Raw genomic sequence first — 24,431 nt, forward strand, 5'->3', positions numbered from 1 at the left:
TCAGACCTTCCTCGGCCGCCGTAGGCCGGCTTGGAGGCTGGGGGAGGGCCCAGAAGTGGAATAATTCAGGAAAGTGCAGGTTCTGGGAAGTCTCGGTGGGTTCCCCGCAAAATCAGGTCTGTGTGTGGGTCTGTCTGTCAGGATGAGGGGAGGAGGGTGTCTGTGGGCGTCCGTTTAGTGCGGAGCCGTGGAGTTTGTGGGGGAAGCGGGAGCAAGTGGGAGTCGGGGTATTGGGGTTGGGGCGTCTCCGGAGTCAGCCCTGAGGGATCCCAGTGGTCGGTGGTCAGAGTCTGTCCAGAGCAACACTTGGAAGTCCGTGATCAGGGTTTGGTGCCTTTGCGGGTCACTCTGTAGGGCTCGGTGATTGAGGACTGGAGTGAGGAGTGGTTTTTGTCAAGGAAAACTGTGTCTGCTTCGGATTCGGGGTTTTATTTTTTATTTTTGAGACAGGGTCTCGCTCTGTCACACAGGCTTGAGTGCAGTGGCGCAATCGTGGCTCACTGCAGCCTCCATCTCCCGGGGCTCAGGTGATTTTCCCACCTCAGCTTTCCCGAGTAGCTGGGACTACAGGTGAGCGCCACCACGCTATCTATCTATCTATCTATCTATCTAATCTGTCTAATCTAATCTATCTATCTATCTATCTATCTATCTAATTTATCTATCTAATCTATCTGTTTATTGCAGAGACGGGGGTCTCACTATGTTGCCCAGGCTGGTCTCCAACTCCTGGCCTCAAACGATCCTCTCACCTTGGCCTCCCAAAGTGCTGGGATTACGGGCGTGAGCCTTCGCTCCAGGCTGTAATCAGGATTTAATATGCGACTCAGTGAGGAGGAGCCCGGGTTCATGTGAACCTAGGTGTGTGGTCCAGGTTTTTGGATTAATCTAAGGGGGTGTGACCATGTTAGGGAGGTCTAGATGTGACAGTCGTGGAGAAGCTTGTGAAGGCTGAAGCCTTGGCAGCCAGGGCATCCTGATTGGTGTGTGTGTTCAGGTCCAACGGTACATTCCCTCTCAGTCCCTTTTAAGTTTCTCTGCAAGGACTGGTTTACAAATCTCATTTGACTTCTCACATCTCTCCTTTCTCTCATCCTGGTAAATAGGAAAGCTTTGGGGAAGATCAAAGATTAATCAAATCTAAAATGGTAAGGTGGCCTGGCGCGGTGGCTCACGCCTATATTCCCAGCATTTGGGAGGCCAAAGTGGGCGAATTGCTCGAGCCTAGAAGTTGGAGATCAGCCTGAACAACATAGCCTGTCTCTCCAAAAAATACAAATATTAACTGGGTGTGGTAACACACGCCTGTAGTCTCAGCTACTCGGGAGGCTGAGGTGGGACGATCACGTGACCCCGGGAGTTCTAGGCTGCAGTGAACTATGATTGAGCACTGCACTCCAGCCTGGGCAACAGAGTGAGACCCTGCCTCAAAAAAAAAAAAAAAAGAAAAGAAAAGGAGAAAAGAAAAAGGAAAAAACAAAACGAAGAAAATGATAAGGTTTCTATTAAAGATTTTCGTTCTTCTTCCTCAGGTTTACTGTGTGAATGTGTGTATACACACACGTAAATATTTTCTTTCAGGTTCTGACACAAGTAAAACATCTCTCTTATCCCAAAATGTGTTCCCCAGTAATGACTTTTGATAAGATTTTTGTATATTTCAATTTCAGTTTTCTATGCTTGATTTTCACAATGCAGATAAGCTGCTGAAACATTGGTATAATTTGCCGTATTTAATTTTACATTATGAACGTTCTTATAGTAAACATATCATCCATGTTTTTGTTTAAAAATTTTTTTTTAAGATTTCTGTAATAGTATACCATCAAGAGGCAAAACTGCACCACTGTGACTTGAATCACTAAGTGTATGGATATATTTAGATAGAATTTTAAGACTTAAAAAGTTCACTTATCACTTTTAAGAATGGGTTACAATTCTATGTTTACCCAAACATGTTTCTCCCTGACCCTCATCAGCACCTTAGTTTTTAATTTTTTTGCAATTGTAAATGGTGTGTTTTTAATTTTGACCTTTCTGTTCTCTTCTAATTTACTCTTACATAGAAGAGCAATTAGTTTAGAAAATATTTACATTGTTTTTGGTCACCTTACTGAACAAACTTCCCTGTTCTCCAGGTTACAAAAACTTTCAAACATATAACATGATTTAAAGAACTTTACAATTGAATACCTGTTTGCCTACCATCTGGATTTTATCATCATTTTATTGTGTTTCTTTTATTACATATCTATCTATATATCATCCTTCTACTCATCATTAATCCACCTTTTTTTCTTTTTATAGAGATGGCATCTCACTATGTTGCCCAGGCTGATCTTGAACTCCTGACCTCAAGTGATCCTCTCTCCTTGGCCTCCTAAAGTGCTGGGATTCCAGGTGTGAGCCACTTCACCCAGCCACATTTATCCATCTTGTAAAATATTGCTTTGTTTTTTGGTGCATTTCAAAGTAAGTTGCAGACATTCATACATTTGCCCCTGAATATTTCAGTAGGTTTATCATAATTAAGTTCTACTGACAGCTTTTCCTAATTACAGGTCTATTAGTCCCATACTGTATAATTCAGTGGCTTTTACTATGTGCGGCCATCACCAAAGTCAACTTTAGAACATTTTCATCACTTAAAAAGAAACCCTGTACCCTTTTGTTACCACTCCCTATGCCCTACCACTAAGTAATCTCTAATCTACTTTCTGTCTCTATAGATTTGCTTATTTTGACCTTTCTGTTTTCTTCTAATTTACTCTTATTTCATTTCATGTAAACGCTACAATATAATATGTGATCTTTTGTGACTGGTTTCTTTCACATAGCATAATTTTTTTTTTTTTGAGACAGAGTCTTACTCTGTCACCCAGGCTAGAATGCAGTGGCGTGATCTCAGCTCACTGCAACCACCACCTCCCAAGTTCAAGTGATTCTCCTGCCTCAGCCTCCCAAGTAGCTGAGATTACAGGTGCCTGCTACCATGCATGGCTAATTTTTGTATTTTTGGTAGAGACGGGGTTTTGCCACGTTGGCCAGGCTGGTCTCAAACTCCTGACCTCAGCTGATCCGCCCACCTCAGCCTCCCAAAGTGCTGAGATTACAGGCGTGAGCCACTGCGCCCAGCCAACATAGTATAATGTTTTCAAGGTTTGTCTGTGTCGTAGCATGTATCTGTACTTCATTCTTTTTTATGCCAGAATAGTATTTCATGGTATGGATATGGCATCTTGTATTTATCCTTTCATCAGTTGATGGACTTTTGGGTTATTTCCCCTTTTTGGCTATTATAAATAATATGCTATAAACATTTGTGTGTAAGTTTTTATTGTTTTTATTTCTCTTATATATAAGCCTAGAAATGGAGTTGTTGGGTTATATGGTATGTTTAGCCATTTGAGGGACTACCAGACTTTTCCAAAGTGGCTGCACCATTTAACATTTCCGCCAGCGATATTTGAGGGTGTCCATTGCCACCATGTACCTACCAACACTTGTTATTTTTAGTTTTTTATTACAGGCATTCTAGTGGGTGTTAGGTGGTTTCTCATGGTTTTGATTTGCATTTCTCTGGAGACTTATGTTGAGCCATTTTTCATGTACTTATGATATACATAACTGAGGTACATGTATTTTTACTAAATATGGAATTGTTAGTATTTTTAATAGCTAGATAGCTCCATTTCTGGATGTGTGTACTTCTAATCAGCCAGTTAATCCTGTTAATAGACCTAAATCCTTTACGTCAACTTTGCATGCATGTGTCGCTATTTCCTTTACAAAAATTTCCAAGGTGGATTTTTGGGTTCTAGTAATATCTCAAATGGAAGTATTCAATGCAAAGTGTTATTTCCAAAATTGTTTAGTCACTTAATACTGATAAAAAAGTATGTCTATTTTGGAATGCTTGCAACTTTTAGATATAAAATCATCAATCTGACTAAAAACTTATTTTTTGTATATGTTCAATTGAATCTATAAAACTGTCACTCTTCCTTAGTCATATAATTTATTTCCTCTTCTCTAATATTGATTATTTATACTTGATTCTTTATCAAACTAACTGGGTAGCCTTTCCAGAATAGTTAAAATAGTGATAATCATCCTGTTCATCTTCGATATTGCTCTTGACTTTAGAGAATGTACTTTTATAGTTTCATAGAACTTTTTTTTCTTCATTCCTAGAACTTCTGTAGGATGTATTTAATTTTTTAAAATGAGGTAAAATTCACAAGACATAAAATTAATCATTTTAAAGTCAACAGTGCAATCGTTCTTAGTACAGTCACAGTGTTGTACAACCACCACTTGCAGCCACTTCACATTCTCCCCTCCAGTAGACCCTGGCAACCAACTATGTGCTTTCCGTCTCTTTTTGTAGAGTGCCCGATTCTGTCGCTGTTTGGGGCGCCAGTTGTAACTGACCATGATTCCTGGTAGACTGAACAAAGCGGGGCAAACGAGGGAATAAAAGACAAAAACAAAAGAGTATATTTGGAAGAAGGGGTCAGGGGGCACCTTGCCTCTAGTGGATAAGGGCTCTGAGCTTTACACAGCTCTCCGTATTTATTAGGCAAAAGAGATAGAGAGAAGGGGGGGTGATTGTCGAGTAATTGTCAGTCGGCCTTTTGGTTCACAGCAGGCTTGTGAGATTGCATTCCTTGAGCAATAGCCTCTAGATGTCCCCATAGATAGCCTCCAGGAGCCCAGCGCCAGGGAATGGTGGCCCTCAGCAAAGCTGGGGCAGGTACAGAAGCGAGTTTGCCCACATTCTGTACTCGTGATAAACAGTTTGCTGTTTGATCATGTACTCTCCAGTGGAATGCTGAGTTGGTCACGATCCCTTTGGCCTTTTCGGCTCCCAACATCTTTTTTTTTTTTTTTTTTTTTTTTGAGACAGAGTTTCACTCTTGTTGCCCTGGCTAGAGTGCAATGGCTTGATCTCAGCTCACTGCAGCCTCTGCCTCCCGGGTTCAAGCAATTCTCCTGCCTCTGCTAGGATTACGGGCATGCGCCACCATGCCTGGCTAATTTTGTATTTTTTGTAGAGACCGGGTTTCTCCATGTTGGTCGGGCTAGTCTCGAACTCCCGATCTCAGGTGATCTGCCCGCCTCGGCCTCCCAAAGTCCTGGGATTACAGGCGTGAGCCACCGCACCAGGCCAGTGTGCTGTCTGTATGCATTTACCTAATCTGGGTATTTTATATAAATGAAATCATATAACGTGACATTTAGTGTCTGACATTTTCTTTTTTTTTTTGAGACAGGGTCTCACTCTATTGCCCAGGCTGGAGCGCATTGGCACACTCTTGGCTCACTGCAAACTCTGCCTCCTGGGCTCAAGCAATTCTCATACCTCAGCCACCCTAACAGCTGGGATTATAGGCATGCACCACCATGCCTGGCTAATTTTTGAACTTTTTGTAGAGATGGGGTTTCCTCATGTTGCCCTGGCTGGTCAAGAGTTTATCTTGAGCTCAAAGCAATCCTCCTGCCTTGGCCTCCCAAAGTGCTAGGATTACAGGTGTGAGCCACCACGCCTGAGTGTCTGACATTTTCACTTAGCATAATGTTTTTGTGGTTGTGGATTGTGTGCTGGGCTACTCCTTTAATGATTAGCCAGGGAATCTATAAACCTGCCTTACCGTTCACTTCCTGCTTGCACTGAACCTGTAGACATCAGCCAGAAGGAACGTTTTAGAGTCTTCTTAGGTCTTTTCTCAGCCAACATCCTCCCCTGTGCATGCGTGTGGCTTTTATATATTCCTCAGTCTATACGAGTGCTTTTGAATGGTATAATTTCCTCAAGACACTTTCCTCCTACCTTTTTCTCACAACCTTTCCTCTGTGACTCAAGTGTAATCTTTTGCCCCAGGCAGCTGAAGGTTGTTGTTCTGCTTCACAAAGTGTTTGAGAAATGCCCATTACTTTTCCTCCCTGAGTGAATTCCAAAACAGGAAGGGGCCTGTTGCATAGGTCCTTCAGGTAGTTAGAATAGACAACAAACAATTTTTTTATTTTTATTTTTGAGACAGGGTCTCACTCTGTCACCTAGGCTGGAGTACAGTGACGAGATCATGGCTCACCACAGACTCAAACTCCTGGGCTCAAGTGATCCTCCCACCTCAGCCTCCCAAAGTGCTGGTATTACAGGCATGAGCCACTGCACTCAGCTAAACAAAATTATTTGTGAATAAAGTCTATTCTGTTCCCTCCAGGGCCTGAATCCAGGTTCCCACGTTGGGAATGTTGGCCACAATCTTTAAGACCATCACTGAGCTGGGGAGGGGGTGGAGCAAAGACAGATAAAAATGGCACAGAACTTTCCTACTATTTTTAAGTCACCATTTTGTTGTTGTTGTTCTTGTTTGTTTTGTTTCTTTGAGATGGAGTCTAGCTCTGTCACCCAGACTGGAGTGCAGTGGTGTGATCTCAGCTCACTGCAACCTCCACCTGCCAGGTTCAAATGATTCTCCTGCCTCAGCCTCTTGAGTAGCTGGGACTACAGACATGTGCCACCACACCTGGCTACTTTTTGTAGTTTTAGTAGAGATGGGGTTTCACCATGTTGGCCTGGCTGGTCTTGAACTTCTGGCCTCAAGTGATCCTCTGGCCTCAGCCTCCCAAAGTGCTGGGATTATAGGCAAGCATGAGCCACCATGCCCGGCCAGTCACCTTTTTTTTGACTCAATATTTGTTCTGTTGTTGTAAACCTTTGACTATTTTTCAGAGTTCTGACCAAGTTTTTGTTTTTTGATTGTTTTTACTTGATTTTTTGATAGTTTTTTTACTTGAGTTTTTGATTTTTCGATAGAGGGACGGACCCTTGGACCTACCTACTCTGCCATTTTTACTCAATGAGATTTTCCTCCACAGTATATATGCTTTTGTTTTTTTTGTTGTTGGTACTTTTAAAAAAGAAATAAACTGATGCAAGTGCACCTTCAGTGATATCCTCTAATCCACCCCCTTTCCTCTCCTCCATCCCTAGGGATAACTATTCCCTTGAACTAATTTCATATAATGCATGTTTTATTAAATGTGTACATATTGAAAAATAATACATAGTCTTATTTTATGTTTTTTAATTTTTTAAATATACTTTTCTTTGTTGTTTCTTTCATATGATGATGATTTGTGAACACGTCCTGTTTGGTAGTGATGCTTTAGAATTTATGGAAATTTTCTTTATGGCTTCCTATACATACATGAGTTTTCAGGAAATATACTCCTCCAGGGAAAGGACTTAGCCACTGGAGCAAACAGGCGTGATTACATTCTCCAGAAAGCTCATAAGGGTCAAAAATGAAGTAGAAGCTCTTCAGCTATTCCTGGGAAAGGGGCTGTGGAAGCTCATGGGAAAGGAAGCCTTGCTGTTTGAAATACACACCCTGGATGTCACTGAAATGTTGCATCCACCACCTCCTGCCCAGGAATGTTAGATCATTTGGGTTCTGCACCTTTCCACTAGTGGCGTTCTAAGAAGAAAAGTGTGAAACATCTCTTGCCACAATTACGTGCTTCTGAGATTGCAGAGGGAAGGGGAGCATTTGCAGCTGTGGGTTAAAGGATGAGTCAGTGCAGACCCTGTGGGTTTGGAGCATGCAGGAGGGCCACCGGGAGCTTGTCACAATGATTCCACCCAGGTGGAAGGAAAGCTTAGGGTGACTCCATCCAGTTGATGCTCTCACCATGTGAGCCTCTTACTTGAGTTTTAGAATTGGGCATAAAAAAAGCCTCTGGGGCCGCCACTCTCTGACCTGCTGCTTTCAGGCCAAGGGTGTAGCGTGCAGTTTTTCCATTTGTCTTTGTGCCTGTGTCACTGTTGGCAGTGCTGATTTCAGAAGGTCAGATTATATGTCTATGACAGTGGCCATCTTCCATGATGAATGAAACTCCCTCAAGGTAGTAGCAAAGAGAGCTAAGATGTATGATGATGGTATGCAGTCCAAAGGTATTCAGCAGAGGCTAAGGTCATGTTCTTGGAGACAGGCTGTGTGGGTTCAGATTCTACTTCTGCTTTTGGACAATATAGTCAAATCTGTAAGCCTTAGGTCAATGTTGGAATGGGAAATAATGATTGATACTTTATAAGGATGTAACGCAGAAGGTAGTAATGAGAATTCAAATACAACAACCCCTCTGCTTGGCTTAATACATTTGTCTTCAAACTGAGGCATGCCTACATGTGAGGTGTATGATGACTTTTGACCAGGCATGTGGACACACGTGGTTTTAAAGAAATAAATATCCAATTCCTCACCTTCTCTGTCCTTTTTCTAAAACCTGATCTAAGAAGTTTCTTGGTGTTGCAGCATCATGTTGGTGCTGGTTCTCCTTTCCCATCTCCCCTCTCACAGTCACCTCACTTACATTTCACAGAAGAAAGACAGTTTGTAAATGTATTGGCCATACCTGTAGAATCTTATGTTTTGTTGCTCCAGGATTTGTTGTTGCCCCAGGGTGGGTTAAAACTTCTGGGGCCCCAAATAAAGGGACAGTTAGAGATGGCCTTGCATTAAGGTGAGAACACAGCAGCAGTGACAGCACCTGGGCCTGCAGGGAATGTACACTCAAATCAATTTACTCTTCAGCCCACAGGTCCTGACTTCAGGAGCAAGACACTTCAAGTGAGGTGAGGAGGAGGTTCCAGGACCTGGATACCATCCTTTGCAGGGATGTAATTCACCAGAGACCAAGATTTCTAGCCAGAAATTGAGGGCAGCTCAAGGAGAGACTACAGACACAGCATCCTACTTACTGGCTATTTCCCAGTAACAAAAGAAAATGATCAAGTCCCAGGTGACTTTTTGTTTGTTTTAGTCTTTCCTTCATCACATGATTGATTTCTGGAAGACTTTAAAAGTCAGTTGAATTAAGTCAAAAAGTATAATTTGGTAAACTAGGATTTGTGCATCAGTAAATTTAGATTGTAATTTCAACATCTAGGCAAAGTAGGATCAGGACTATATTGTTTACATGTGGTATCATAGAAAGATACTTGGTCTTTGTCTGGCATAGAGCTCCTAAAACCCTTGGAATTTCCTGAATGATAAGGGTCTTTTTTTTGTTTGAGACAGGGTCTCACTTTGTCACCCAGGCTGGAGTGCAGTGGTGCAATCTTGGCTCACTGCAACCTCGGCCTCCTGGGCTCAAGCGATCATCCCATCTCAGCCTCCTAACTAGCTGGGAGTGTGTGCCACCAGGCCCAGCTAACTTTTTGTATTTTTTTGTAGAGATGGGGTTTCACCATGTTGCACAGGCTGGTCTCTAACTCCTGAGCTGAAGCAATCTGTCTCCCTTGGCCTCCCAAAGTTCTGGGACTACAGTTGTGAGCCACTATGCCTGGTCCTCTTTTTTTGTAGTGAAACTACTCTCAGTGGACCCCTAGGTAGCTTCAGTATGGAGGCTGGTTGCCAGAAATAACAAGCCTTGATTAGAAGCTTGGAACTTTCAGTACTACCTCTAATCTCCAGGGAGCAGAGAGAGGCTGGAGATTGAGTTCAGTCACCAGTGGCCAATGATTTATTCAACCATGCCTGTGTAACATAAAAACCCCTAAACAGCAGGGTTTGGAGAGCTGGGTTGGTAAACACATTGAGGTGCTGGGAGGTTGGTGTGTGCAGAGAGAGCATGGAAATTTATGCCCATACACCACCATACTGTGCCCTGTGCAGCTTTTCCATTGGGTTATTCCTGGGTTGTAAATAAACCAGTAATAGTAAAGTGCTTTCCTGAGCTCTGTGAGTTGTTCTAGTAGATTATTGAACCTCAAGGTGGGTTGCAGAAATCCCCACATTTGTAGCCAAGGGACAAAAGTCTTTGTAACCTGGGGACCTCACACTTGTGACTGGTGTCTGAAGTGAGGTTGGTCTTGTGGGATTGAAACCTTAACCTATGGGTCTTCCAGGAGTTGGTGTCAGAATTGAATCTAATCGTTGGACACCTATTGGGTGTTAGAGAATTGGAGAATTGGTTGATGTGAGCAAAAACCCACACATTTGGTGTCAGAAATGTGAGTAAAAACAGCACAATGGAATTCACACAAAATGACTAATGTTGGAACCTAATGTGTGACCGGAGCATCCTGTGGGTTATAGTAGCTGTCACCTTCTGTCTAATGTCTCTGACTGTCATCACATCCAGAGAGTCCTTGGTCACAGGATATGCACTGACTCTCAGGAGAAAGCAGACCAGTTCCCGAGAGGTGTCACTATTAAATGCACTTAGGTCCCAGGACAGTTTTTAGATGGTTCTTCCTAGAGGTGGTGTGACAGATGATGTCTTTTTTCTTTTTTTTTTTTTTTTTTTTTTGAGATAGAGTCTCACTCTGTCATCCAGATTGGAGTGCAGTAGTGCCATCTTGGCCTACCACAACCTCTGCCTCCCAGGCTGAAGTGATTCTCCTGCCTCAGCCTCCCGAGTAGCTGAGATTACAGGCATGCACTACGACTGCCCGGCTAATTTTTGTATTTTTAGTAGAGACAGGGTTTCACCATGTTGGCCAGGCTGGTCTTGAACTCCTGACCTCAAATGATCCTCCCACCTCGGCCTCCCAAAGTGTTGAGATTACAGGCATGAGCCACCACGCCTGGCCCCGAATATAAATGCCATAAGCCCAGCCTTCTCATACATGCCAAAGCACAGGTCCTCAGAGACCTTTTTGGGAAGAGGCCAAAGGAACTCAGAGGACACAGTTCAGGGGTCCAAGGCAAGGTTACCCAAGGACCCAGTCTTATGGCTGGTAGGGTCATCCAGGAATAAAACCTGAAAGGCTGAGGAAAATGGAAAGATTGCACAACTTTCTTTTTTTATTCTTTTTCTAAATTTTTTTTTCATTTTTCTTCTTTTTCTTTTCTTTTGAGTTTCACATTGTCACCCAGGCTGGAGTGCAGTGGTGTGAACATGGCTCACTGCAACCTCGATTTCCTGGGCTCAAGAGATCCTTCTGCTTCAGCCCCTCAAGTAGCTAGGCATGTGCCACCACATCCAGCTGATGGTTGTATTTTTTGTAGAGATGGGGTTTTGCCATGTTGCCCAGGCTGGGATTGCATGACTTTCTAAGGTTCTCTGTATGAACAGGTGGCTGACTTACTGTTTGAGACAGGATTGGCAGTAGGGAGTTGAAAGTACTGTTGTCTGGTAAGGGAATGGGTTGTTGGGATCCAGAGGGTTTGCTTTACAACATCCCCCTGTGTAAGATTGTGCACATTCTTTTTCCATGTTCAAAGCCAGTTCTTACACCCTCATCCTTTAATACGTTAAAAAAAGTAAGTATATAAATGTACATGGATATATATATATATATATATATATATGTGCAATATGCTGTATAGGTTTATAGTCTGGGAGCAATAGGCTATACCGTAGAGCCTGGGCATGTAGTAGGCTGTATCATCTAGGTTTAAGTAAGTGCACTCTGTGATGGATGAACAACAGAATTGCCTAATGATGCATTTCTCAGAATGTATCCTTGTTATTAAATGACACATGAATAAATAAATATACATGTATACATGTTTGCATATATTTGTATGTATGTATATATATGTATATATATTTACAGACGTATCTGCCTTAGCCCTTAGATCTTTGGATAGTACCTTTCCATTATTGTATTTTCTCTTTCACAAACTAAATTGGTACATGCTAGACCTTACCTATCCTCTGTATTTATTAATCTGGTCTTTTATATATTGCATCATTCTGTCCTTTTGTTGCATTTTTGGTAGTTTTTTCAGATCTACTTACCAGTTCATTGACTATCTCTTCAGTTATGCTGCTTACACGCCTGATAACATAAATATAAATACTTCAAAACCCATATGTGTGTGTATGGTTTTTGAATAATATTTTGTATTTTCTTTTTTATTATTTATTTATTTATTTTATTTTTATTTATGTATTTATTTTGAGATGAAGTCTCGCTCTGTCACTCAGGCTGGAGTACAGTAGCATGATCTTGGCTCACTGCAACCTTTGCCTCCTGGGTTCAAGTGATTCTCCTGCCTCAGTCTCCCGAGTAGCTGGGATTACAGGCATGCACCACCATGCCTGGCTAATTTTTGTATTTTTAGTAAAGATAGGGATTTCACCATGTTGGGCAAGCTGGTCTCAAACTCCTGACCTCAGGTGATCCGCCCGCCTAGGCCTCCCAAAGTGCTGGGATTACAGGTGTGAGCCACCATGCCTGGCCTATTTATTTATTTTGTAAGCCAGTCACATTTAGCAGTAGGGGGTAATAATACTTAATTGTCTCTTGTTCTTTGGACATGTTTTGGAAAGAGTCTTTTACTCCTCCTAACATATAAAATATACTTATTTATTATGTAGTATCTTGTAGTGTTTGGGGTTTCTTCCTGGTTGATTCTGGTAGCGCACATGAAGATTCATTGAAGATTCATGATGAATAAAGAAGTATGCTTTATTCATCCTGATATTGCTAAAATATATTTAGTGCCTGGCAAATAGGTGCTCAAAAAAAAAAAGAGGATTAGCAAGAGGATTAAATGATTGGTTCTTATAGAAACTTCTGATTTGTTAAATGATAGATAATTACACAATTACAGAATATTTTGCTAGAGATAGATTTTGAATATAGATAGATTTTGGAGATGGATTTTTGCCTCTATGACAATGTATTTTTTTAAAAATCACAGCACCTAGATATATAGATGCAGACTATTTGGTAAAAATGAGCAGAACAATGTTCTTCACATTTCTTCCATATAAATGAGAGAAATACTTCATATTAAGCAGGACTCTCTTATTACAGGAATCACTGACCCTGGAGGATGTGGCTGTGGAGTTCACTTGGGAGGAGTGGCAGCTCCTCGGCCCTGCTCAGAAGGACCTGTACCGAGACGTGATGTTGGAGAACTATAGCAACCTCGTGTCAGTGGGTGAGGACAGCTGCCCTGTGTCACTCAGAGAGTACCCAGTCAAAGGCCTTTGCTTTCTCAGCTTTCAAAAGCTCTGGAGGGCCTGTGGTGCTCTGAAGTGGTAGATTCTGTACCCTCTCTGGCCCCAGATAAAAGAGTGTAATGTGCCCCCTTTAGAGGGAAAATCCCTTTGCTTTGCAGACACATAAATTACATAGTTCCTAAAACAGAACATGGTCCCATGTTGATAGACCACAGCTCAATTCAATGAGCCTAAGTTGTGTATCATTTCCTATGAACAGGGTATCAAGCCAGCAAACCAGATGCACTCTTCAAGTTGGAACAAGGAGAGCCATGGACAGTAGAAAATGAAATCCACAGCCAAATCTGTCCAGGTGAGTTCAGGGTGAGAGCCAGCAAGGAGGGTGGCTGAGCAAGTCACATGATAGTTGTTCAGCAGTGTCTGAGCTGTCAGGGCATCTGAGGCTGTGTGGACAGAGCCTCCATGTATCCCTCTCCCCACACAAAAGCTCTTTCTCCTTCGGGTATTTAGAGGAACATCTGCTTCGTTATCGCGTCTTGGATTTCATCACTGTTTATTTTTTATTTATTTTATTTTATTTATTTATTTTTTGAGATGGAGTCTCACTCTGTCACCCAGGCTAGAGCCCAGTGGTGCAATCTTGGCTCACTGCATCCTCTACCTCCCAGTTCAAGCGATTCTCCTGCCTCTGTCTTCCCAGTAGCTGGGATCACAGGCACCCGCCACTACGCCCAGCTAATTTTTTTGTATTTTCAGTGGAGACGGGGTTTCACCAAGTTGACCAAGATGGTCTCAAACTCCTGACCTCTGGTGATCCACCTGCTTTGGCCTCCCAAAGTGCTGGGATTACAGGTGTGAGCCACCACACCCGGCCTCATCACTCTTTATTTAATCTAGGTTTGATTTGTTTTTCTCAAGGTTTCTTCCTTTTTAGGATTCTCAAATCTCATCATTTCTTGTTCCCCCATCAGAGCATCACTACCTGTTCCTTCTACTTCTCTTGCTATGAAATTCCTCCTTCCATGTCTGTCTCCAAAGAGTGGTCTTGGATATCAGCACTCTCTCCTGACCACTATACCTTTCTGCCCCTTTAGATAATGTTGATTTTTTTTTTCCAAAGGTCTTCCCACCCTATCTTGGACTCTGTGCCCCCTTAGTAACCTGGTCTGTTGCTTTGCATATATTTGCTTCCTTAGCTTCTCTTTTTTCTCCCACTCTGAGGTCCTCCAGAGGTTCTGTTTCCCATTTATTTTGCTCTGTTCTCATATCCTTTAAAAGTTTCCTTCATTCTAATGACTTAAGTTCTTGTTCTCTATGGAGATTCTCAGATTGACATCTCCCTTAATATTTCCTAACTTACATGTTTGTACCTATTTTTTACCCACTTGCATGTCAACTCCTTGAGTCGATCCTGGCCACCACAGGGTTACCTTGAAACTTCCCTGCCTCCTCAGCTACCGTATTTAAAGTCTTTGCTCTTTCAATTGATTTTTGAAGTAGTCTCATTCTCTTTCCAACCCAAACCAGATTACTACACCTCATGCCTGCTTTGCTTCAATTTCCTTTTGGAATCATTAATTCTGCCTATTATTTAGTTTCTCTTAAATTATATTGCTGGACTTATTCCCTTAAAGCTTTTCTGTTCTTACCATAGTCTGATGGCACTGAGTCCCAGTGAATCATAGCAGTCATATAAGATGGAAATTTCTCATCTGTCAGGTGATATTCTAGTTGAATCACCATGATATGGTATCATCTTGCCTACACAGAGTTTGTTTTCCTTTTCCTTTTCATAAATTCAAAGCCAACTATATATAAAGCACTACATTTGAAGTAGTTTCCGCAGTGTGTCCCTTACTTTCCTTGTTTCATTGCCTTAAATATTTTTTGATAGACTATTACATATGGGCCCTGACAGCTGTGAACATCAATAACAACAACAAAATTCTTCTTGGAGATTACCTGCTAAAAGGAAGAGGCACAAAATTAATCAAAATGGATAAATGTCTTGTGGTGAAAAATGCTGGGAAGACCAATAACAAAGTATAATGAGGGATGCCGGGAGTGGGAATGGCTGTTTGGTCAGATGCCTTTGAGCAGCTGTATGACAGACATGAATACGTCCCCCTGGTGAATTACCTTCCAAGTAGACAAAATAGCAGGTCCAAAGGCCCAAGGCAGGTGTGTGTTTGAGGAACTTCAAGGAAGCCTGTGTGAATACAGAGGAGTGAACAAGAGGGGCAGTGGTCGGAGATAATACGGAAGTAAGGACAGTGTGGTGGGATCTGGAGTTTGGGGTAGACAGGTCATGTATGACCTTTCAAGGACATTTTAATGACTTGATTTTTTTTTTTTTTTTTGGCACAGAGTCTCTCTCTGTCTCCAGGCTGGAGTGCAGTGCTGTGATCTCAGCTCACTGCAACCTCTGCCTCCCTGGTTCAAGCGATTCTCCTGCTTCAGCCTCCCAAGTCGCTGGGACTACAGGCGTAAGCCACCGCTCCTGGCTACTTTTTGTATTTTTAGTAGAGACAGAGTTTCACCATGTTGGCCAGGATGGTCTTGATCTCCTGACCTCATGATCCACGTGCCTCGGCCTCCCAAAGTGCTGGGATTACAGGCGTGAGCCACTGCATCCGGCCATGACTTGATTTTTTAAAAAATTATGAGATGAGGAAACATGAGGGAGTTTTGAGTAGAAGAGTGACATGATGTCATTTATATTTAAAAGGATCACTTTGACTACTTTGTAGAAAGTATACAGGAGAAGGCAGAGGTTGAAGCCTGAAGTCCACTTGGGAGGCTATTGCTATAGTACCAGAAAGAGTGATTCTCTTCCATCTAGGTAGAAGGGGTGAGTGTTAGTGAGTTTCAGAATACAGGAGTCCCCTGTTATCCACAGTTTCTCTTTCTACAGTTTCAGCTACCTGTGGTCAACTATGGTCTGAAAATGTTAAATGGGAAATTCTAGAAATAAACAATTCTTAATTACATTGCTCACCATTCCAAGGAGCATGAAATCTTGCACCATCTTGCTCCATCCTGGAACAGGAATCATTTTTTGTCCAGCATATGCATGCTGTGTACCCTACCCACCTGTGTCACTTAGTAGCCATCTTGGTTATCAGATCAACTGTCAAGGTATCACAGTGCTTGTGTTCAAGTAACCTTTGTTTTACTTAATAATGCTTCCAAAGCTCAAGAGTGTGATGCTGGCCTATTGTTATAATTCTTCTATTTTATTATTTGTTATTGTTAATCTCTTGCTGTGCCTAGTTTGTAAACTTTATTATAGGTATGTATGCACTGTACAGGAAAAAACATAATGGATATAGGGTTAAGTATGATTCAGAGTTTCAGGCATCCATGGTGTGGGGGGTGTCTTGGAACATATCGCCCATAGATGAGGGATTACTGTATATTTATAAAAGACATAAGGAATTTACTACTGAAGTAGACAAAGGGTGTGAGACAAACATACAAATGAAAGATGATAGTAAGGTTTCTGGCATGAGTCCGAGCAGGAATTAACTTGCCATTTCCTGAGAAATTTACCTTGTTTATACACTGACTGCTTTTATTTTTTGTTTTCTTTGTTTAAATTATAATGGTTTATTCTTGTCCAAGTGACAATAGGCATATCTACTTGGAGTTTTTTAAACAGTGGAAATAGTGTGGTCAGTAGAGCCAGCCTGTACAAGACTGTTTGTGAAATAGTTCTATTCCATGCTCATGGAAAGATTTATTGTTCTCTTCTTTCCTAGAAATCAAGAAAGTTGACAATCATCTACAGATGCACTCACAAAAGCAAAGATGTCTGAAGAGAGTGGAACAATGCCATAAACATAATGCATTTGGAAACATCATTCATCAGAGGAAAAGTGATTTTCCTTTAAGGCAAAATCATGATACATTTGACTTACATGGGAAAATACTGAAATCAAATTTAAGTTTAGTCAACCAGAACAAAAGGTATGAAATCAAGAATTCTGTGGGGGTTAATGGAGATGGGAAATCCTTCCTTCATGCCAAGCATGAACAATTTCATAATGAAATGAACTTCCCCGAAGGTGGAAATTCTGTGAATACAAATTCACAATTCATTAAGCATCAGCGAACTCAAAACATAGATAAACCCCATGTATGCACTGAGTGTGGGAAGGCTTTCCTCAAGAAGTCTCGCCTCATCTATCATCAGAGAGTTCACACTGGGGAGAAACCTCATGGATGCAGTATATGTGGGAAAGCCTTCTCCAGAAAGTCCGGGCTCACTGAACACCAGAGAAACCACACAGGAGAGAAACCCTATGAATGCACTGAATGTGACAAAGCATTCCGCTGGAAATCACAGCTCAATGCACACCAGAAAATTCATACAGGAGAGAAGTCATATATATGCAGTGATTGTGGAAAAGGCTTCATCAAGAAGTCTCGGCTCATTAATCATCAGAGAGTTCATACAGGAGAGAAACCACATGGATGCAGCCTGTGTGGGAAGGCCTTCTCCAAAAGGTCCAGGCTCACTGAACACCAGAGAACTCATACAGGAGAGAAACCCTATGAATGCACTGAATGTGACAAAGCATTCCGCTGGAAATCACAGCTCAATGCACATCAGAAAGCTCACACAGGAGAGAAGTCATATATATGCCGTGATTGTGGAAAAGGCTTCATTCAGAAGGGAAATCTCATTGTACATCAGCGAATTCATACTGGAGAAAAACCCTATATATGCAATGAATGTGGAAAAGGCTTCATCCAAAAGGGCAACCTCCTTATTCATCGACGTACTCACACTGGAGAGAAACCCTATGTATGCAATGAATGTGGGAAAGGCTTCAGCCAGAAGACATGTTTAATATCCCATCAGAGATTTCACACAGGAAAGACACCCTTTGTATGTACTGAGTGTGGAAAATCCTGCTCACACAAGTCAGGTCTCATTAACCACCAGAGAATTCACACAGGAGAGAAACCCTATACATGCAGTGACTGTGGGAAAGCTTTCAGAGATAAATCATGTCTCAACAGACATCGGAGAACTCATACAGGGGAGAGACCGTATGGATGCTCTGATTGTGGGAAAGCTTTCTCCCACTTGTCATGCCTTGTTTATCATAAGGGAATGCTGCATGCAAGAGAGAAATGTGTAGGTTCAGTCAAATTGGAAAATCCTTGCTCAGAGAGTCATAGCTTATCACATACACGTGATCTCATACAGGATAAAGACTCTGTTAACATGGTGACTCTGCAGATGCCTTCTGTGGCAGCTCAGACCTCATTAACTAACAGTGCGTTCCAAGCAGAGAGCAAAGTAGCCATTGTGAGCCAGCCTGTTGCCAGAAGTTCAGTCTCAGCAGATAGTAGAATTTGCACAGAATAAAAACCATATGAATGCAGTGAATGTGGTAGTGCTTTCAGTGATCAATTACATCATATGTCACAAAAAACACAGAGGAACAAACTGATATATTCAAGGTGGAAAGCCCTTGAATAAAACCTTATGGCTAATAAGCATATACTCAGAGAAAAATAGTATGAAGTGGAGACTGGGAAATTCTTTTATGGGAAGATAGATCTTCTCATCAGTGACCATAGATCACATCTTCAGTGAGCTTATAGTTGGTAGAAATATAATGATCATGGAAAAGTCCTTGTTCAGAAACAGTACGCCAGTAGGTATCAGGGGGTTTACACAGGAGAGAAACTTTTGGAAGACCTTTGAAGGCTATGAATGTGGCAGGGTTGCTAGTGGTACATTCTGCCTTATCCTCAGAGGGAATCATATAGAAATAAAACTATGAAAATGTAACTAGAACATCTTCATCAAAATATGAAAGAACACACGAAGCAAATAAGCCCTGTGAAAAGGAGTATTTTAGAGATTTCGATCAGAAATCTAACATCATTATATGGCAGATAATATACAGGATGTGTATTTTAGGACAATATACCTTGAATCACTAGTTGATATGTCAATGACTAATTAAAAGGGGTTGTCAGTGTTACACATCATTGGTTAAATTTATAGCACAATGTACCTCTTCCCCCTTTTTTGATAAGAGTCTTCTATTCCCAACCAAGATCATTATATGATTAGCTCTTGTGTTTCTTTGATTCCAAATTTCTTCACTTGTTATTTCAGACTACTGAAGCTCTTCAAAAGGAAAAATGTATTTAATTTAATAATGTAACACAACAAGTTTGGATGTGTTTAACTTTATAAATAATCACCCCAGAGGAATGAAGTTCAAAACTTGTGAATAACCAATTGGCCATGCTCTTAATTTAGAAGGTAGTCCTCATCCTAACCCTGTGGTTTGTCTTATTGTTGGCATAAGCACCATTCAGAATAGTTTGAATGATCTATTTTCTTTACCTGAAACTATTTCCTTTATCTAGGAACCGTGGATGATGGCAGTGGGAAACAAAGCAAAATTGCAAGCCAGCATTTTTAAAAAGCTGGATTATATGCATGTAGCTATTTTACCCTCCAGCAGCTGTAGTTAAAAAATGCATATGCCTATATCAGTTGAAAGAGACATACAATATAAGATCAAATTGTCCTGATAATTTCTTATTCAAGGGACATATTTGGAGTGGGAAGGGGAAAGGACTCAATTTTCCTTACATAAAACAGGATATGAATACTTTTCTAAAAAGTGTTCATGTCTTCTCTCTACCTAAATTATAAATTCCTTGATAGTTTGTAGGCAATTGTATATACCCTAGCAGATACCAAAATAGAAATTAATTATATGTAGATTTGGAAGATGAATGAAGGTGCATGAATAACCCAGTGGACAATTATCAAAATTACTTTTGCCATTGAAGGAAAGGAACTACTGGCAAGAACTTCTAAGGATTAGTATTATTCTAAAAAAAACTTTAAAAAAATCTGAATAGAGACTCATTTCTGTCATAAGAGGGGCAGAAGAGAGAAGGAATAGGATTCACAGAATAAGCCCAATAAAAGAACAAAATAACTTCATTCTCTAAAAATAAAGGACAGCATGTAAGATGGGTAAAGGTGAGATCCTTTTGGATATCTTGGATAAGAACCCTTAAATTTATCTACAGACCTGTCACCTTGGAGAGCTGCTACTGTTTTAAAGATCCTGGCTCCTCTGTGGTATGCTGAATTGGAACATAAGATTTCTCTTCATCATTCCTTCTCACTTGGGGTTAAGACCCTTGTCCTCTCCTATACTCAGAGTTCCTTCCCTTGATCTAATAAAGATACATCCATGTTAGAAACAGTCCTGCTCACAAGGAAAAATAAAGTGGAAATTTGCCATAAAGTGGCTGCCTCACAGTGGAAACCCGAAGTCTGGGTTATCGGGTGATTACAACAAATAGTTTTTGAGCATCTGCACTGTGGTAGACACTTGTACACACAGGATACACTGAAGAACAAACATAAAGTAGTGGCCTGTAACAGGATGGATTCAGTACAGATGCTCTACAGTTAAGAGTATAAGAAATGAACTCTTCTTCAACCTGGACTTCAGATTCTCTCTACTTCTTGCCTTGTGAATCTGCACATCCTATCATAGCAGTCGTAGCATCTTACTCCCTGAACACATAAATCAGGGTGCGCTACTGGGCTTCCCAGGCCTGTCCTTGGGACCAGGTGTTGAAATCACCTTTCAGAAGTTGGCATCCCAGCTAAATAAATTTAACTGGATACTCAGTTCCAGGTTGCCTCTTTCAAAAGGCACATCACCCCATGCCTTCATAAAAATGGTAGCCGACATTTATTAAGCATGCGGTTTGCCAAATGGTAACTGCATTATTTAGTAATTTAAAAAAATTAAAGTTTGTTTTTGTTTTTGTTGTGTTTGAGACAGGGTCGTGCTCTGTCGCCCAGGCTGGAGTGCAGTGGCCTGATCATGGCTTACTGAAGTCTGGACCTCCTGGGCTAAAGCCATCCTCCCACCTCAGCCTCCAGAGTGGCCGGGACTACAGGTGCATGCCACCACACTCTGCTAATTTTTGTATTTTTGTATTTTTTCTGTAAAGGCAGTGTTTCACTATATTTCCCAGGCTGGTCTCCAACTCCTGGGCATAAGTGATCCTCCTGACTTAGCCTCCCAAATTGCTGAGATTACATGTTTGAGCCATGGCACCCGGCCTCTTTAGTTATTTAACACTCTTATATGCTCCATTTCCATCTTCAAGTGTTTCAGGGAAATATTTGATTAAATTTGAGGCCTCATTCCTTTTTCCTTATTACAGGTAACCACACACTGTATGCAGTTGCACGTGGGCATTGGTCCTCATAGAGATCGCTCCCGTATTTGGCCTCAAGACAATTCTCGGCTAGACTAGCCTTGCCCATTCTTTTCTGCATCCGTTGAAGGAGATTCAGAACATCCACAAATTTGGTCCACTCTGTGACCGCTGTCCCCCTATTCCCCTTCAGCCACTTCGCCTTTGGCACACCTTGTTGGTCCTGAAGAGGCCCTCAGAAATACTCCACATTCCGCCCTAAACTCCCAACAGATTGTATTTTCTACTGAATGGAAACTGACACCTCCTAAGATGAACTGCAGCCACGATGCTTCTTCCTAACGGCTCAATATGGGGTACAGCGCGCGGCCATCTTATTTTTTTGCTCAGGCTGTTAAAAGTTTTTATAATTTTCTGACAATTTATCCAGTTTGCGCAGTGACTGAGGTGCCCTGAAATTAATTCACTGTCTTCCAACGCCGTGGTAACAGCCCTTCCGGGTTCTCTGGTGGGAGTCGCCGAGATGGGCGTGGCCATGATACGTCACAATACGAGGCCGAGGGAGGAATTCTGTCGTCTGGGAACGGCTGGTTTCGCGGTCAGACGCCGAGGGCCCTCGAAGTCCCTAGCAACGGCTGCGGAGGGAGATGTAAGTCGTTTTGGACGCAGGCTCAGTGTTTGGTCCCAGCGTTCGGTGGAGTCCGGAGAGACTCAGGATCAGATGAGTCGGGGTCTGGATGTGGCTCCAAGTGAAAGGCCTGTGGGGGTCAGTGAAGGGGAGCCCCCTGTTCTGAGACCGTGTGGGACCCCGCGTCCTGGGGTTCTTTCTGGGTTTACTCAATGGAGAAGCCTGGCTTTGGTGATAGGGCGCCTGGCGGTCAGTAATTAAGAGACTGGAAGATATTAACGACCGACTGTCAAGGTTTATGGTCGTTGAGGGAATGCCGTGGGAATCAGTGGTTGAGAAACGGGGTAGGAAAGTGTGTATCAGTGAATGAACTTGGTGTCCATTCCGGGTTTGCAATTTAATGTGATAGAGAAGCTTGGGGCTGGAGAATGTTTTAGTGAAAGAGGTTTTAGTTTGCGGTTTCAGATTTAATTTGGAGTCAATGTTTGAGGAGGCCTGTACATGTCTGTGGTTTAGGGGCCTGAAGAGGCTGGAGCTTTGGAGGCCCAAGGGCCCTGGAGAGTGGATGGGTTGAGGCTTAATAATTGACTGCTGGTTACAGTTGTGATTAAACTACATTTACCTAGTGGATCTACATGCAGTTCAGTTCTTCAAGTCCAAGTCCGTCTTAAAAATAACAATGAAAAACATTTCCCTTCCTATATTCATATCATTGTCTACAAATTTCTGGACGAGGAAATTACGAGTTTGCTACTAAAGTCGAGCTTTTTTCCTCTCTAGTTCCCAACTTTACCATGTCGTTTTCATAAATATTTTCTTTCAGATTTATTCCAACACAAGAAAATAATCTCTGTTACCCACACTTCTGATTTTTATTTAGGAGCATTTTTTTTTTCGTTTCATCCTCACAGTTTTCACAATTGCAATACTTTGGGTAAATATTTGATTTCATCACTTAAATTCTCATCACAAACATACATACATGTATGTATATATAGTATATATATCTATATTTCTGTCTCTATATACATCTGTCTATGTATGTATGTATGTATCTATCTATCTATCTATCTATCTATCTATCTATCTATCTATCTATCTATCTTTCTATACAGAGAGAGTCAGTCTTGCCCTGTCTCCCAGGCTGGAGTACAATGGTGCCATCAGCTCACTCTAACCTTGAACTCCTGGGTTTAAGGGATCCTCCTGCCTCAGCCTCCCAAGTAGCTGGACTACATATAAAATTTTTCAATGGCAGTATCACATCAGAAGGTTGTACCAGTGGCTTAGTAAATGGAGTCACATTAAATGTTTGCCTTAATTAGGATGGAATTGACATGTATAAAATATTCAATTCTATTTCTATATTTTCTATCTATATATAACATTCTGATACTCCAATTACTCAAGTTCTTCTGTTCCCACCCCAAGATTTGTGATTCACTTTTTTATGTCCTAGATCTTATGGTTACATTTATTCTTAAGTGGCTTATACTGTTTTTTTTGATAATTCCTCTAGAAGAGGAAGTCATTTTTTAAAAATTGAGACAGAGTCTCACACCGTTGCCCAGGCTAGAGTGCAGTAGTATGATCTTGGCTCACTGCAACCTCCGCCTCCCAGACTCAAGGGATTCTCCCACTTCAGTAGCTGGGACTACAGGCACTCGCCACCATGCCCAGCTAATTTTTGTATTTTTTGTAGAAATGAGGTTTCACCATGTTGCCCAGGCTGGTCTTGAACTCCTGAGCCCAAGTGATCCACCTGATGCATTACCTGCCTCGGACTCCAAAGTGCTAGGATTACAGGCGTGAGCGACTGCTCCTAGCCAAGCGTTTCTTAAATCCAAATATTTGCTGGAGTATGCGTACCTAATGCATGTATGAAGGCCTATCCCTCTGAGAGTCTGGGTTGATAGATTTGGAGTACAATCCCTGCAGAGTGTTGATAAAATTCTCTATGGAATGCTGTTGTGACATACTTGGTAACTCACAGCCCTAATATATGCTAAAATGGATGGAATTTTGTGAGAAACAAGAAAATATCTTCTAGTAGTGATGATTTTTTGTAACAAATATATGAAATATCTGTATGTAATACAGGATTTAAACACAAGGTATTGTTAGAATTCTAGGTTGTGTGAAGTTACATGTCAAGATGTTACTGAAATGCCAAGGGTTCAGTCTAGGTCCCGTTGCTTGCCACACAGAAAGACAATCACTGAGACAATGAGTATTGCGAGAGAAGAAAGGCTTTTTTGGGTAACATCAGGTGGGAGAGGAAAATAAATATCAAATCTGTCTCCCCACAACCGACTAAAATTGGTGGCTTATATAACAGGCAAGGAATATAAAACAGGAATTAGGGAAGGGTAAGGAAGAGGAGTTGGCCAACAGGAATCAGGTGGTCGGTTAGGCAATCATGATGGATGAGGGGTCCACCATCGCATTGTCTAGATGCAGTGATCTGGTAAGTTTCAGTTCCTTGAACTATCTGGGAGGCCTGAATGGTTTCATGAGAAACGAACTCAGATAAAATGAATATAAGTTTCAAGCTTTAAGACTAGGAGAGTCAATTTCTATATTTATTCAAAAAGACTGTTAACATCATTTCTGTGGGGAAATCCAGCCAGTTTAAAAAATG

The 24,431-nt window shown here is 41.6% G+C and overlaps 1 protein-coding gene and 1 long non-coding RNA gene across 3 annotated transcripts in view; both read left to right on the plus strand.

Annotated features, from left to right (window-relative positions):
* On the plus strand, positions 48-19,197 carry ZNF613 (zinc finger protein 613). 2 transcript variants are annotated; one of them, NM_024840.4, is made up of 6 exons: positions 48-116; positions 471-570; positions 2,308-2,472; positions 12,785-12,911; positions 13,193-13,285; positions 16,695-19,197. In NM_024840.4, exons 4-6 carry the CDS (start codon positions 12,878-12,880, stop codon positions 18,311-18,313), a joined length of 1,746 nt encoding a protein of 581 aa, NP_079116.2. In that variant the 5' UTR covers positions 48-116; positions 471-570; positions 2,308-2,472; positions 12,785-12,877; the 3' UTR covers positions 18,314-19,197. The 2 variants fall into 2 exon arrangements, with proteins under 2 accessions (NP_079116.2, NP_001026891.2); NM_001031721.4 differs by lacking the exon at positions 471-570 and adding an exon at positions 8,604-8,811.
* A 2,512-nt stretch (positions 19,198-21,709) lies between these two features.
* Positions 21,710-24,431, plus strand: part of ZNF350-AS1 (ZNF350 antisense RNA 1) — a 32,234-nt gene continuing 29,512 nt past the window's right edge. The window contains exon 1 of the long non-coding RNA NR_103847.1: positions 21,710-21,811. This is a non-coding gene — a long non-coding RNA (ZNF350 antisense RNA 1). The remainder of the gene's footprint in view (positions 21,812-24,431) is intronic.

The sequence above is a fragment of the Homo sapiens genome, chromosome 19, assembly GCF_000001405.40.
Source record: "Homo sapiens chromosome 19, GRCh38.p14 Primary Assembly".
Classification (NCBI taxonomy): Eukaryota; Metazoa; Chordata; class Mammalia; order Primates; family Hominidae; genus Homo; species Homo sapiens.